Below are 16508 nucleotides of genomic sequence, written 5' to 3' on the forward strand. Positions count from 1 at the left end.
AATGACAACAGTCTTCCAAATAAGAGCAATTTGGGGGTGAGAAATACCAGTTCTCTAGGAATGCACACTAAACCATAGTGTACATTTAAGTCATAAAGTTTTTAAAAATTTAAACAATTTTTGGTCAGGCATGGTGGAACATGCCTGTAATTCTAGCACTTTGGGAGGCTGAGGTCAGGAGCTCAAGACCAGCCTGGCCAACATGGTGAAACCCTGTCTCTACTAAAAATACAAAAAGTAGCCAGATGTAGTGGTAGGTGCCTGTAATCCCAGCTACTTGGGAGACTGAGACAGGAGAATCACTTGAACCCAGGAGGCAGAAGTTGCAGTGAGCTGAGATAGCACCATTGCACTCCACCCTGGGTGACAGAGCAAGATTCTGTCTCAAAAACAAATAAAGAAATAAAATAAAATTCTTATAGTCCCCTTTCAAAAAGCACACTAACCGTATTTTAAATACATATCTTAAATATCTAAAACAAATTTTTTCTCCATAGCTCCCCTAATTCCCAAAAATCCTAGTGAAATGGATAGCAAGTGTGTAGTGAGAAGGTGCTGTGGACACTGGTTATATGTGAGATGTTCAGATTGCCACACTTCCTCTGAGTAAAGCAATTAGGGTGGAAACATGGACTGCAACCTATATAATTTGCACTTTTGAAGGTTGTTTTGTGGGCATAAAATTGTCAGATAATGTTTAAAGAGCTTTTCCTGGCCCCACAATATTAATCATGCTCATTATAGAACAGTTGGGAAATGCAGAAAAGACATGTTAACACAGAGACACCTACTGGCAACATTTTGGTGTTTATTTCCTGTCTTTTTCCTAAGCACACAAAAATGTAAATATATACATATAAAAATGCAGTTATATTGTTGACAGAATTTAATATTTTGCTTTCTTCACTGAATACAATGGTCTTGTGTTGCTCTCCCTTCCCTTTATATATTCTTCATCAGAATTTGTATTAATTGCCAAAAAAATTCCTTCATTGACTGTATATACCATAATGTAAAATAATTTAAATGGTATTTATGATTTTATAATTTTTAAAGTTATATTTTGTATATTCATATATGTTATTTTGTATAAAATTTTAAAAGCTATAAAATGAAAGTAATGAAAGTATATATCACATTTTTGACAACTGATGCTTCTCAGCATGCAGCTCAACTGGTTCAAGGCCTCTTTATGCTTCCCTAAATCCTCAAAGGCTGGGAAGAGACAGCAGGTTAGACACTACACAGGGATATTACACCCCAGCATTGAAGGTCACATTCCAGGAGGTCCAGTCGAAAGTGAGATACCATGTTAACTCACACATGGATAATTGAAGATCTGTTTGTAAAGTTCACATGCTAAACTCCCACAGGCTGTAAAACAGAGTTGATAGGTTTGTGATCCAACATATTCCTCTCATGGTGTATAAAATGGATGTTGTTACCTGGACCTAAAATGAAAGTTCCACCTTGCTGAGCTGGGTCTCCTTGAAAATCAAAGAGAGGGCCAGTCACTGCCCACCACAAGCTCCAAAGGCTTCCTGAGAGTATATTTGACTTCACATGGGGGCTCTGTCCTGAGGAGGCCATTTCTTCACCTCTTTTCATTCCCAATCTTTTATAAATTTCCCTCTCAGGGTGAAATAGATTTCATGAGAATATCCAGGCAGTTTGCAAAAAGACTCAATAGGATGGTAGGATGACTGTTCAATCACTATAAGAGTGACATTTGCTTCTTGTAGGAAACTCTTCGGGATTTTGGGCAGATCCTCTACATATTCCTTGCAAATGTAAAACAGGAAATGTTGCACAAACACTACCATAGTGTGGCGCTCCCAGAGGAGAGCTCCAAATGGCACCCACTGCCCATGAGAGTCCAGCACTGGCAGCTCGGCTATGGCAGCTACCAGGGGCTGCCCATGTTCAGGGCCACTCAGGGCCTGGACAGGGACAACACCACCGCTGAACTTCAACATTCTTAAAGAAAATAATTTTCCACTCAGAATTTCATACCCAGCCAAACTAGCTTCATAAGCAAAGGAGAAATAAAATCCTTTACAGACAAGCAAATGCTGAGAGATTTTGTCACCACCAGGCCTGCCTTGCAAGAGCTCCTAAAGGAAGCACTAAATATGGAAAGGAAAAATTGGTACCAGTCACTGCAAAAACACATCAAATTGTAAAGGCCGTAAACACTATGAAGAAACTGCATCAACTAATGTGCAAAATAACCAGCTAGCATCATAATGACAGGGTCAAATTAACACATAACAATATTAACCTTAAGTGTAAATGAGCTAAATGCCCCAATTAAAAGATACAGTCTGGCAAATTGGATAAAAAGTCAAGACCCATTGGTGTGCAGTATTCAGGAGACCCATCTCATGTGCAAAGACACACATAGGCTCAAAATAAAGGAATGGATGAATATTAACAAAGCAAATGGAAAGTAAAAAAAAAAAAACAGCCCTTGCAATCCTAGTCTCTGATAAAGCAGATATTAAACCAACAAAGATCAAAAAAGACAAAGAAGGGCATTACATAATGGTAAAGGGATCAATGCAGTAAAAAGAGCTAACCATCCTAAATATATATGCACCCAATACAAGAGTACCCAGATTCATGAAGCAAGTTCTTAAGATCTACAAAAAGACTTAGACTCCCACACAATAATAGTGGGAGACTTTAACACTGCACTGTCAATATGAGACAGAAACTCAACAATGATATTCAGGACTTAAACTCGGCTCTGGACCAAGCAGACCTAATAGATATCTACAGAACTCTCCACCCAAAGTCAACAGAATATACATTCTTCTCAGCACCATATCGCACTTATTCTATAATTGACAACATAATTGGAAGTAAAACGCTCCTCAGCAAATGCAAAAGAACGGAAATCATAAAAAACAGTCTCTCGGACCACAGTGCAATCAAATCAGAACTCAGGATTAAGAAACTCACTCAAAACCGCACAACTACATGGAAACTGAACAACCTGCTCCTGAATGACAACTGGGTAAATAACGAAATTAAGGCAGAAATAAAGATGTTCTTTGAAACCAACGAGAACAAGGAAAAAACGTACCAGAATCTCTGGGGCACATTTAAAGCAGTGTGTAGAGGGAAACTTATAGCACTAAATGCCCACAAGAGAAAGCAGGAAATATCTAAAATCGACACCCTAACATCACAATTAAAAGAACTAGAAAAGCATGAGCAAACAAATTCAAAAGCTAGCAGAAGGCAAGCTTTTCAACAGATTTTCAATGTAGACGAAACAGCCCTGTACTGAAAGAAGCTGCCACCTAGGACTTATATACCTAGACAGGAGAAGTCATTTCCTGGCTTTAAAACTTCAAAGGACAGGCTGACTTCTTTGTTAGGAGATAATGCAGCTGGTGACTTTAATTTGAAGCCAGTGCTCATTTTCCATTTTGAAAATTTTAGTGCCCTTAAGAGTTATGCTAAATCTACTCTGCTTATTCTCTATAAATGGAACAACCAAGTCCATATAACAGCATATCTGTTTACAGCACTACAACATGGTTTATTGAACATTTTAGGCCTACTGTTGAGACTGCCTCAGAAAAAAAAAAATCCTTTCAAGATATTACTTCTATTGAAAATGCATCTAGTCACGCAAGAGCTCTGATGGAGATGTATAAGAAGATTGATGCTGCTTTCTTTCCTGCTATATGGCATTCATCCTGCAGCCTAGAGATCAAGGAGTAATATTGATTTTCAAGTCCTATTATTTAAGAAATACATTTCATAAGGCTATGGTTGCTAGAGATAATGATTCATCTGATGAACCTGGGAAAAAGTAAATTAAAAACCTTCTGGAAGTGATTCACCATTCTCGCCATTAAGAACTTGTGCACTTCATGGGAGGAGGACAAAATATCAACATTAACAGGAGTTTGGAATAAGTTGATTCCAACCCCATGGATGACTTTGAGGGGATCAAGACTTCACTGGAAAAAATAACTGCAGATTTGGTGGAAATAGCAAGAAAACTAGAATTAGAAGCTGAGCCAGAAGATGTAACAGAATTGCTGCAGTCTCATGATAAAACTTTTTAATAAATGAGGAATTGCTTTTTATGTATGAGCAAAGAAAGCAGTTTCTTGGAATGAAATCTACTCCTGGTGGAGATGCTGTGAGCATTGTTGAAATTACAACAAACGATTTAGAATATTACATAAACTTATTTGATAAAGTGGCGGTGGGGTTTGAGAACATAGACTTTAATTTTGAAAGAAGTACTGCTGTGGATAAAATGTTATCAACCAGAATCACATGCTGTAGAGAAATGGTATAAAAGAAAGAGCCAATGAATTTTGCAAACTTTATTGTTTTCTAAATTTAAGAAATTGCCACAGCTACCTCATTCTTCAGGCGCCACCACCCTGATCATTCAGCAGCCATAAACATCAAGGCAAGACCCTCCATCAGTAAAAAGATTACAACTCACTGAAGGTTCAGATGATTGTTAGCATTTTCAGGCAAGCAATAAAATATTTTCAAAAAAGTGTGCATTTTTTAGACATAATGCTATTGCACACTTCATACACTACAATAGAGTGTAAACATAACTTTTAAATGAAATAGAAAACTAAAAAATCATGTGAGTCACTTTATTGTGATATTTACGTTGTTACAATATTTGCTTTCTTGTAGTGGTCTGGAACTGAATATGCAATATTTTCAAGGTATTCTTGTACTTTAACTGGATGAATTGTATGTTATATGAATTAAACTTCAATAAACCTGTTTTGTGAAAATTCAACAATAAGAAAACAATTTTAAAAACACAAAATATTTGAATAGACACTTCACCATAAAAGAGATAGCAATAGCAAATAAATGCAGGAAAAGAAGCTCAGTATCATTAGCTATTGGGGGAATGCAAATTAAAACCACAATGAGATACTACCACTTACCTATTACAATGGCTTAAAAATGGACCATATAAAACAATAGCAAGGATATAGAGCAATTAGAACTCCTACAAACGCTGCAGATGGAAATATAAATTGATACAACTACTTTGGAAAACAGTTTGGCAGCTTCTTAAGTTAATCATACAACTACCATATGGATCAGTCATTTCATTCTTAGATATTTAATCAAGGCAAATAAAAGAATATATCTACACAAAGGCTTGTATACAAATAATGATAGCAACTTAATTTGTAAAACTGGAAATAACTCAAAGGTTCATCACAGTTGAATGAGTGAACAAATTGTGGTATATGCATTCTATCAGGCAGAAGAAAAATTGTACTAGAGATCAGAAGACCTGTATTTCAGTTCTGGAGTTTCATGAGTTAGAATAAATACAGTAACATTAAAATTTGTCACTGTTCTTATTTAGACAATGAAGGAAATAATATTTCCCTTTTTTATATGTTGGTTCTAAAACTCAAATGAGGTAAATATATGGAATTATTTGGTAAGCTATAATTTTATGACATTTTATTGGTTTTTAACTTCTTGATTTTTTTCTGATTGCACCTATGAAACTATATTTTCTGAAATTTTAATTTTTCTTTCTTCACATGTGTTATCATATTAAAGAAAGCCATAGCCTTAGAACTTTTTCTTTAAGTCCTTAGCTAATAACTGATACATTTTGACATTCTTGGAAGGTTCATTTGTGTTTGATAATTTACTTCCTGTGAAACACAGAAGGCTAGTATAAGGGGTGACAAGAATATCATCATGACTGATTGTTGATTTTTTTAGCACATTAACAAATATTCATACTCAGTCTTTGAATTATATTTTTTGGGTTCTTGCCCCCAATAAAAGATTTTGGGCACTCAAATATCCAGTCCATTTTTTACTCTTACATGGCCAAACTCGAATAATGCCTTCAAATTGGAACATATCTTTATTGTTAGAAAATATAATTACAAATAACACATGTAAGTAAGGCTCCAAAGTTCTGCAGGTTTCTTCTCTCTGGTTTACTGTTCCTCTTAAAAACATTTTTGTGTAAAAACATAAAACTGCAGTTAGCATTTAGACTCTTTTTCATCAAATATAAAAACCCAGCCCAGCTCATGTCCCATTTGGCAACAACCCTTAGACACTTTACTGTCCTAGACCCCAGAGGAAGGCCATCTTACTCTCAACATGCATTTTATTACCCAGCCCACTCCCAACATTAAAAAAAGCTCCAAAAATTAGATTCCAGCCCTCAAACCCCACAACAGGACTTAATTAACCTCGCCTTCAAGGTGTACAATAATACAGTAGAGGCAGCCAAGTAGCAACATATTTCTAAGTTGCAATTCCTTGCCTCCACTGCGAGACAAACCCCAGCCACATCTCCAGCACACAATAACTTCCAAACATCTGAACCGCAGCAGCCAGGCATTCCTCCAGGACTGCCTACCCTAGGATCTTGCTTCAAGTGCCAGAAATCTGGCCACTGGGCCAACAAATGCCCACAGCCCGGGATTCCTTTTGACCCATGTCCCATCAGTGTGGGAACCCACTGGAAATCGGACTGTCCAACCCAGCAGCCACTCCCAGAGTCCCTGGAACTCTGGCCCAAGGCTCTCTGACTGACTCCTTCCCAGATCTTCTCGGCTTAGTGGCTGAAGACTGACACTGCCCGATCGCCTCAAAAGCCTACAGACACTTTGAGTAACTCTTACAGTGGAGGGTAAGTCCGTCTCCTTTTTAATCAATACCTGGAGGCTACCCACTCCACATTACCTTCTTTTCAAGGGCCTGTTTCCCTTACCTCCCTAACTGTTGTGGGTATTGACGGCCAGGCTTCTAAACCTCTTAAAATTCCCCAACTCTGATGCCAACTTGGACAGTGTTCTTTTATACACTCCTTTTTAGTTATCCCCACTTGCCCAGTTCCCTTATTAGGTCGAGACATTTTGACTAAATTATCTGCTTCCCTGACTATTCCTAGGCTACAGCCACACCTCATTGCTGCCCTTTTCCCCAGTTCAAAGCCTCCTTCACATCTTCCTCTCATATCCCCCCACCTTAACCCACAAGTATAGGACATCTCTACTCCCTCCCTGGCAACCAATCACATTCCCATTACTATCCCATTAAAACATAATCACCCTTACCCTGCTCAACACCAATATCCCATCCCACAGCATGCTTTAAAAGGATTAAAGCCTGTTATCACTCGCCTGTTACAGCATGGCCTTTTAAAGCCTATAAACTCTCCTTACAATTCCCCCACTTTACCTTTCCAAAAACTAGACAAGCCTTAATCTTGGTTAGTTCAGGATCTGCACCTTATCAACCAAATTGTCTTGCCTATCCACCCCGTGGTGCCAAGCCCATATACTCTCCTATCCTCAATACATCCCTTCACAACCCCTCCATAACCCATTATTCCATTCTTGATCTCAAACATGCTTTCTTTACTATTCCTTTGCACCCTTCATCCCAGACTCTCTTCGCTTTCACTTGGACTGACCCTGACACCCATCAGTCCCAGCAACTTACCTGGGCTGTACTGCTGCAAGGCTTCAGGGACAGCCCTCATTACTTCAGCCAAGCTCTTTCTCGTGATTTACTTTCTTTCCACCCCTCTGCTTCTCACCTTATTCAATATATTGATAACCTTCTACTTTGTAGCCCCTCCTTTGAATCTTCTCAACAAGACACCCTCCTGCTCCTTCAACATTTATTCTCCAAAGGATATCGGGTATCCCCCTCCAAAGCTCAAATTTCTTCTCCATCCGTTACCTACCTCGGCATAATTCTTCATAAAAACACACCTGCTCTCCCTGCCGTTTGTGTCCGATTGATCTCTCAAACGCTGACCCCTTCTACAAAACAACAACTCCTTTCCTTCCTGGGCATGGTTGGATACTTTCACCTTTGGATACCTAACAAAACCATTTTTGTTTTTGCCATCCTAACAAAACCATTATATAAACTCACAAAAGGAAATCTAGCTGATCCCATAGATCCTAAATCCTTTCCCCACTCCTGTTTCCGTTCCTTGAAGACAGCTTTAGAGACTGCTCCCACACTAGCTCTCCCTGACTCATCCCAACCCTTTTCATTACACACAGCTGAAGTGCAGGGCTATGCAGTCAGAATTCTTACACAAGGACCGGGACTGCACCCTGTAGCCTTTTTGTCCAAACAACTTGACCTTACTGTTTTAGGCTGGCCATCATGTCTCCATGCAGCGGCCGCTCCCGCCCTAATACTTTTGGAGGCCCTCAAAATCACAAACTATGCTCAACTCACTCTCTACAGTTCTCATAACTTCCAAAATCTATTTTCTTCCTCACACCTGACACATATACTTTGTGCTCCCCAGTTCCTTCAGCTATACTCACTCTTTGTTGAGTCTCCCACAGTTACCATTGTTCCTGGCCCAGACTTCAATTCGGCCTCCCACATTATTCCTGATACCACACCTGACCCCCATGACTGTATCTCTCTGATACACCTGGCATTCACTCCATTTCCCCATATTTCCTTCTTTCCTATTCCTCACCCTGATCACACCTGGTTTATTGATGGCAGTTCCACCAGGCCTAATCGCTACACACCAGCAAAGGCAGGCTATGTTATAGTATATTCGAAATCTATCATTGAGGCTACCGCTCTGCCCCGCTCCACTACCTCTCAGCAAACCAAACTCATTGCCTTAACTCGAGCCCTCACTCTTGCAAAGGAACTACATGTCAATGTTTATACTGACTCTAAATATGCCTTCCATATCCTGTACCACCCTGCTGTTATATGGGCAAAAAGAGGTTTCCTCACTACACAAGGGTCCTCCATCATTAGTATCTCTTTAATAAAAACTCTTCTCAAGGTAGCTTTACTTCCAAAAAAAAAAAAAAAAACTAGAGTCATTCACTGCAAGGGCCATCAAAAGGCATCAGATCCCATCACTCAGGGCAGTGCTTATGCTGATAATGTAGCTAAAAAAGCAGCTAGTGTTCCAACTTCTATCCTTCATGGCAGTTTTTCTCCTTGGCACCGGTCACTTCCACCTATCAGTCTCTTCACACACAAGGCAAATGGTTCTTGGACCAAGGAAAATATCTCCTTCCAGCCTCACAGGCCCATTCTATTCTGTTGTCATTTCATAACGTCTTCCTTGTAGGTTACAAGCCACTAGCCCGCCTCTTAGAACCTCTCATTTCTTTTCCATCATGGAAATCTATCCTCAAGGAAATCACTTCTCAGTATTTCATCTGCTATTCTACTACTCCTCAGGGATTGTTCAGGCCCTGTGACCTCCCTTCCCTACACATCAAGCTCAGGGATTTGCCCCTGCCCAGGACTGGCAAACTGACTTTACTCACAAGCCCCAAGCTAGGAAACTAAAATACCTCTTGGTCTGGGTAGACACTTTCACTTCATGGGTAGAGGCCTTTCCCACAGGGTCTGAGAAGGCCACCACAGTCATTTCTTCCCTTCTGTCAGATATAATTCCTGGGTTTGGCCTTCCTACCTCTATACAGTCCAATAACGGACTGTCCTTTGTTAGTCAAATCACCCAAGCAGTTTCTCAGGCTCTTGGTATTCAGTGGAACCTTCATACCCCTTACCATCCTCAATCTTCAGGAAAGGTAGAACTGACTAATGGTCTTTTAAAAGCACACCTCACCAAGCTCAGCCTCCAACTTAAAAAGGAGGATTCTGTCAAGGATAGAGCCCAAAAACTCACCAACCAAGCAAGTAATTACACTGAACCCTCTTGAGTACTCTAATTGGATGTCCTGGGTCCTCCTAATTCTTAGTCCTTTAATACCTGTTTTTCTCCTTCTCTTATTTGGGCCTTGTGTCTTTCATTTAGTTTCCCAATTCATACAAAACCGCATCCAGGCTATCACCAATGAGTCTATACAACAAATGCTACTTCTAACAACCCCACAATATCACCCCTTACCACGAAATCTTCCTTCAGTTTAATATCTCCCATTGTAGGTTCCCATGCCACCCCTAATCCCGCTCAAAGTAGACCTGAAAAATATCGCCCATTATCTCTCCATACCATCCCCCAAAATTTTTGCCACCCCAACACTTCACCACTATTTTGTTTTGTTTTTCTTATTAATATAAGAAGACAGGAATGTCAGGCCTCTGAGCCCAAGCTAAGCCATCATATCCCCTGTGACTTGCACGTATACATCCAGATGGCCTGTTCCTGCCTTAACTGATGACATTACCTTGTGAAATTCCTTCTCCTGGCTCAGAAGCTCCCATACTGAGCACCTTGTGACCCCCACCCCTGTCCGCCAGAGAACAACCCCCTTTGACTGTAATTTTCCATTGCCTACCCAAATCCTATAAAACGACCCCACTGCGATCTCCCTTCATTGACTCTCTTTTTGGACTCAACCCTCCTGCACCCAGGGGAAATAAACAGCCTAGTTGAAAAACAAAAAACATAAAACTGAATGAAGCTAATTTCACCAAAGAATATATATATTTAAGTAAATCAAGCATTGGACTGTTACACAGCATTAGGCTACTTAATAGTCTCAATTTGGCTTTTATTGGCTTAAACTATATTGATGATTTGCTATACCTGAACTGTCTATCGCAGCAATATATTTCTTGGTAAATATAGAATGAAAGAAAAAAAAAGCCCAAGCAGAAGAAAGGTGGTTTTCCCCATCAGGGGAAAAATGGTTTCTGGTTTGTCAGTTCTACAAAAGAGAATGGTGCTTTTTTCCAAGTGGTGGAAGTAGGCTTATTTGGCTTCTTCTTTTAATAGAAGCTTGTTTCTTCTTCATGATGGTCATCTGTCCTGACAGATAGTCCTTTAACTTGCTTATGAATTTTAGAAAATTCTTTGGATCATGTTGTGTTTGTATATGTATTTGTTCTTTGTCATTGCTATGCCACATTTATTTTAGTTTACCTCCCTCTCTCTTTCTGTCTGTCTAGTCAGACAATCTTGAGGATTAATTTCTGAAAAGCTAGCAAAGGCTAATATTCTTTTTTAATCACTTTCACTACCTCTGTCTTCTATAAAGATTTAACTCCGAGGGGTTTATGTAATTAACAGTCACCAATTCTGCTTGTTTTTACCCCTCTACAAGGAAATAGACTAAATAGCCAAGTTGCAAGATACCACTGCTTCTTTTAAGAGTGATGGGTTTCCCAGGTGATACTTGAAAGAAGAGATAACGACCACCTATCTCCTTCATCCTGGTTACACAGGAAGGTAGGTGAGTAGAAGCTCCTCTAGGATACATATCTACATTTGCACTATTATGTGACTCACTTTATCTGCTTCTTCAAAACATTGCTTCTTATTATGTTTACCTATGTGATGACAGTCAACTCACAAAAATAGCTACTATTCAGTGATGAGTACATAATGAAAAACTTGGAAGATCAGGAAAATGCTTTCTCCCTTGAGGATCTTACAAGATATTTAGCAGATATTTATTGAGCATCTACTACATGTAAGGCTTAGCACAGGGCCTTAGAGATGAATAACACTCACCCTGTCCTCGTGAAGCTCAGTATAGCAGAATGAAAGCTAGTCAGAACTTTCTTCTTAGTGTCCTTCCTGACTGTGGAGGCAACTTGTGACCCTTTTCTTGGCTACCCACAAAGATATTGTTATTGCATCTATAAATCATTAAAACTGTAGAATCAGAAGGGGACTTCTCAGGAGCAGATATAGGTACACAAGACTGACTCTTTCATCATGATAGTTGTGGCAACAAGGAGCTGCAAATAACATGTTTGCTAGTATGGCCAGCTCAAATCTCAGTGCTTCATGGGAACAGATTTTTCCACAGGTTGATAATACAAAGTTGGACAGTAACCCTCAGATCCCTACAATATCAACTCTAGAAAAGCACCTCACTCTTGAACATGTCGCACATCTAATAGAGAGTTATGAGTATATTTACATAAAGCTACATACCATTTTTTTGAAATTTGCTTATGTATAAATGAACTGTGGAATATACTTTCTAATAATTTCAGATTAAATAAGATTTCCAGTTTCTTCTCGATTTTAACTGATTTTTTTTTTACCTATCCAGTAACCTTGATTCAGATGTTTTATTCACACAGTAAACAAATTTTCCAAGGCATTCTTAATTTCAAATATTCCCTTTCATTATCTTTCTAAACCTTCAGAATATCCCAAAACTTCTAATTTTTTTCTTTTGTTTTATCTATTTATTTTCTTGACACACCCTTAGGAGGTCTTAATTTCATGTGTCCTGAAATTCTAATTTTTTGATATCTAAATTACACCTCCTGGATTGCATCCGGCACCAAGAAACAACACAAAACCCTCATGTGTCAGAATTTATGGCCTGATTTGGAGTTTGGAAAACACAGTCACTATACTACTAAAAGTAATCTTTAAGGAATGGAAAAATTCCCAAAGCTGGGTAGTGGGAAGAATAATAAGACCCTCCACAAACCTTTGTTAGGCCATACTTTGCTTCTGGACCATAGTTTAATGATCTGACTTCTAGATAGAAAACATTTTTTGAACCACCTAAAATTATAAAATGTCAAGTGGTTATTAGTGTAACGATTAACATTTTAATTTTAATGTTCTCAAAATGACTTATTTTATTTTGGAGTGAGGTAGAAAGGGATGGCTATTCTTATTCAAGTGTTTTTTTGTTTGTATGTTTCTGTCAAGTTTGTAAACTGCAAATGTCTTTTCATTTAATTGGATCAGAAAATTCTCATGGTGAAAATGTGATGTATTTCAAGTAGTTAGGAATTCATGTTTATTCTAAATTGTGGTCTTTTAAGATTTATGATCTTATTTTGTTTTGCATAAAAGGTCAAAAAGAGGAAGTAGTCATACCTAATCTGTAAATCATAGGATATATATAAAAACATTTTGCTACTTAATAAAATTTAGATAATAGTTATTAAATTCACTGTTCATCCGTGGTTCTCTTTTTGAAAAATGGTATTATTTATAATTTATGTAAATATAGTTCAAAATTATACATGTAACTCAGCTATTATTCTTTTAGACTGAATCTTACAGTCACAAAATAAGTTTTCTTAGGCTTGTGGAATATTCTCAGGCTCAATATGTATAAAAGACTAAAAAAGTGCTACATCTTGGATTAGCACAATTATTGAATAATTAGCACAATTATCTCAGCCTTTGAGATCCAAATATCTTTCTGCCCAAATTATAATACTGAACTTTAAATGGGTAAAAGGTGTTTCAGTGGTCGATTTATCAAGTTCTCATCATAGGTTTGCCTTCTGCTCATTGAATCTATTTTACCCAAGGCTATGGACTCCTTTTGGCATTTCTGCCTCAGCAACAGAGGATAAAAGTCATGTTGTGATGGATAAGTCACAAAAGTAAAAAATACAGACGTGGACTACAGGCCTCCAAAGAAGAATTGAGCATGCTGAGGATCGATGCCAGACATTGGACATTTTTGAGGTGTTAAGAGGTGGGTACTTTAGTGGTTGTTGTTGTTGTTGTGTGTGTGTGTTTGAAAGAGTAAACTATAGTGAGATAATCTGTGTAATATGAAAAGTTAAGGCATTTTATTTATAAGAAAGTGAAGCTTCCTTCCAGAAAGATTGAGGCATCAAAGCGGTGGTGAAAATCTGAACAACTCAGTTAATAAAATTATCTTCTTAGGTTGAAAATATGTAGGCTTTTGGAATTAACAGGAAATCATCATAGGAAGGGGTGAGAGGAAAGGGAATATCACTTGTGGAACTTTACAAATCAAGTACCAAGAGCTTTACATGTGTTATCACATTTAATCCTCATAGCAATCCTATGGTGTAGGTATTATCATCTCCATTTTACAAATTAAAAAACTATCTTAAGCAGGTTATTTGACTTGCCTAAGATCATATAGATATTAAGTTTAGGGTTTTGTTTTATATCCAAATCTCTCTGACTTCTAACTCTGTGCTTAGAAAGATCTAAATATCTAAGAGAAAACTGTGACTATCATTTCATGCTTTTCTTATGAAGAATTCTACCTCTACTTCATTGTGCCCCTACTTTATTTAGTTTTTGGAGGAAAGTTTTTCACGTGGTATATTCAGAAAATACTTTACAACCACAATATATGCAACTTTAAAAAAATTGCACTAGAGAAAGAAGCATCCATTCTCAGGAATAAAGCATCTATGTTTTTTTTTCCTTCTGCATTTTTCCATATATTATTAATACATAAGTGAGAACCAAAATTTCCAGAATAAGTGTATCCTTTGTAAGTGTAGAATCAAGCCTTTCCAACTTTTGAGATCTGTTTGTTTAGCTAAATCAGCAATGCAAGGTTAATTCTGACTGATTCTAGACTTGTGTTGCATACTTTTGGACACTTGATCAGTCTAAGCAATTGAAGCCTCTTCTTATAATTTAGGAGTATTTAGGTACCTGGCCAGGCTTGGTGGCTGTCTGGGCATGGTGGCTTATGCCTGCAATCGCAGCATTTTGGGAGGCCTAAGCGAGAGGATCACTTGAGCTCAGGAGTTCAAGACCAGCCTGAGCAACATAGTGAGACCCTCGTCTATATTGAAAAAGAAAAAGAAGAGGAAGAAAAAAAGTATTCATATAGTTTCGAAGAAAGGTTAAGATATGTCTGTTTTTGTTTAGTTACAATCTTTAGAACTTCTTCCACATGGCATTTATTAATTTGTAGTCGCATCTTTAGTAATATTTTTCAGAATTCATTAAGTATGGCAAAATCATAGGCCATTATGGTATAGTGGAAAGATCCCTTCATTTGAGGTCAGAGAATCTAGGTTGAACTCTTAGTTCTCTTGTTTACTGTGTAAAGTTTGGCTATTAATTTACTCTCTCGGAGTCTCAGTTTTCTCATCTGTAACATGAGAATAATCCTTACCTCATATATTTGTTGTGAAAATAACTTGAAATAAAAAATATGAAAGTACTTTGTAGGCAATAACATTCTATCATAATGTGAGGAGAAATTGAATAAAATGAACACTAAAGGAATATTTACCATATGCTAGTCACTAACTTATTTTCTATTTGTTGCTCCAGCAAGACCAATATCTATATATCCCTAAGGAAAAAATAACATGACCTTCAGCCTTGGGTCACATTTTCTGGTTGTCCTACCTGTTGCCCCAGCAGCCATGCAATAGTTTACAATCTACTGGCAGGAAGGTAAAATGTGTGAAAGAATTGCCTTCTAGGTCATTCTCTTTGTGAAAAGTAATCTACCACCAAGGAGAAGCCTGCTTAACAGTTCATATTAAAATCTTGGCTCAAAGCAGTGAATGAAAAGTTAGAGGTGAACAGTAGTTTCATAACAAAGCCCAACAGGACCATTTAGGTAAGACATTGTAGTAGAGTAGGAAATACATTGAATGGGAAGAAAGGGGACCAGAGTTCCAATCCTGATTTTACCACTGCCTAATTGTATAACCTAAAAAAAGTTTATTTTTCCTCTTGGCCTCACTGTCCCCTTTTATACAGTAATGTGGGATGGACTAGATTATCTCTAAGGTCTATTCCAACATTGATATTCTAATATCCTATTCTTAATTTTAATAGAAAGATTTAAATTATATATTGAATTTTTAGGATGCTATTTTATACCTCAAAAGGAAAAAGAAAAAAATGCACAAATTATTTCTCTGTTGTGAATTATAATACACATTCACTTACATTAATAGCTTTATCGGAGGTAGAATTAGCATAATCCTTTACATTTTCAAAGTATTTTAAATATCCACCATCTCATTTGAGTCTCATAATAATGACAATATTTTATTATTTATCTTTACATACTAAATTAAGTAATTGAGCCTCAAGGATGTTAAAGGTCTGTACAGTCACATAGCCAGTACACGATGGATCCAGAAATCCAACTGTGGTCTATTTCTAAGCCCAGTTTTTTTTTCCACTACCACAAGCTGTACATTATTTTATCCAGGCTTAGAATAAATGGAACTCATCTGGAAAATGAATTAAAAAGGGAAGAGTCACTGTTATTTATGTATGCTAAAAGTATGAACAGGTAAGAATACTTAAGAATAAGGACAATGTTTTATATTCTTTTAAAAAATTCTTCAGACTTGAGACTGAAGCTCTGAACAAGATGCAAGCAAATGTACAAATAAAATATTAATGCATCTTTCAGAGCTCTAGACATTATGAAAGATTAAAGAAATAGTATTTGTAAAGCCCTTTAATATCATTTGAAGAAAGTGGTTATTTAAATATAATATTTGGAGCTGTAACACTCAGGCATACAACAGAAAGAGAAAGAATAAAGAACGGGATATAAGAAGATGTCAATTTTTCTAGGGGATTGTCTATCACAGTCCTTGTGTTAGTGTAGACTTTTTAGAAACTGCCAAAGAAGTGTACCTCACACTTCTTTCACTAACCTCCAACCAAAAGTAATTGCAAACTTTAAGGGATTTAAAGTGAGTTCTCTCTGTCAATGAGTGTACTGACTGCTTGTTATTCGTGTCATAGCAACAATAAAAGCCACCAATAGAGAGTTTGTGTTTAAAATTGGTATTAATAATGA

General features: G+C 37.4%; 1 protein-coding gene and 1 pseudogene across 14 annotated transcripts in view; one reads left to right on the forward strand and one right to left on the reverse strand.

Annotated features, from left to right (window-relative positions):
- ZC3H12B (zinc finger CCCH-type containing 12B) overlaps positions 1 to 16508 on the forward strand; it is a 473062-nt gene that overhangs the window by 320743 nt on the left and 135811 nt on the right. For 7 of the 14 annotated variants that reach the window (NM_001010888.4, XM_047442075.1, XM_047442077.1 and 4 more), the window contains 2 exons: positions 11070 to 11198; positions 13261 to 13430. The exons of 3 other annotated variants lie outside the window; for them this stretch is intronic. The gene's annotated coding sequence lies outside the window, so the exon portion shown is untranslated. The remainder of the gene's footprint in view (positions 1 to 11069; positions 11199 to 13260; positions 13431 to 16508) is intronic. 4 more of the 14 variants (XM_047442076.1, XM_047442074.1, XM_047442079.1 and 1 more) reach the window with 2 other exon arrangements.
- On the reverse strand, positions 1121 to 1969 carry PRXL2CP1 (PRXL2C pseudogene 1; annotated as a pseudogene).

This window comes from Homo sapiens, chromosome X, assembly GCF_000001405.40.
Source record: "Homo sapiens chromosome X, GRCh38.p14 Primary Assembly".
NCBI lineage: Eukaryota > Metazoa > Chordata > Mammalia > Primates > Hominidae > Homo > Homo sapiens.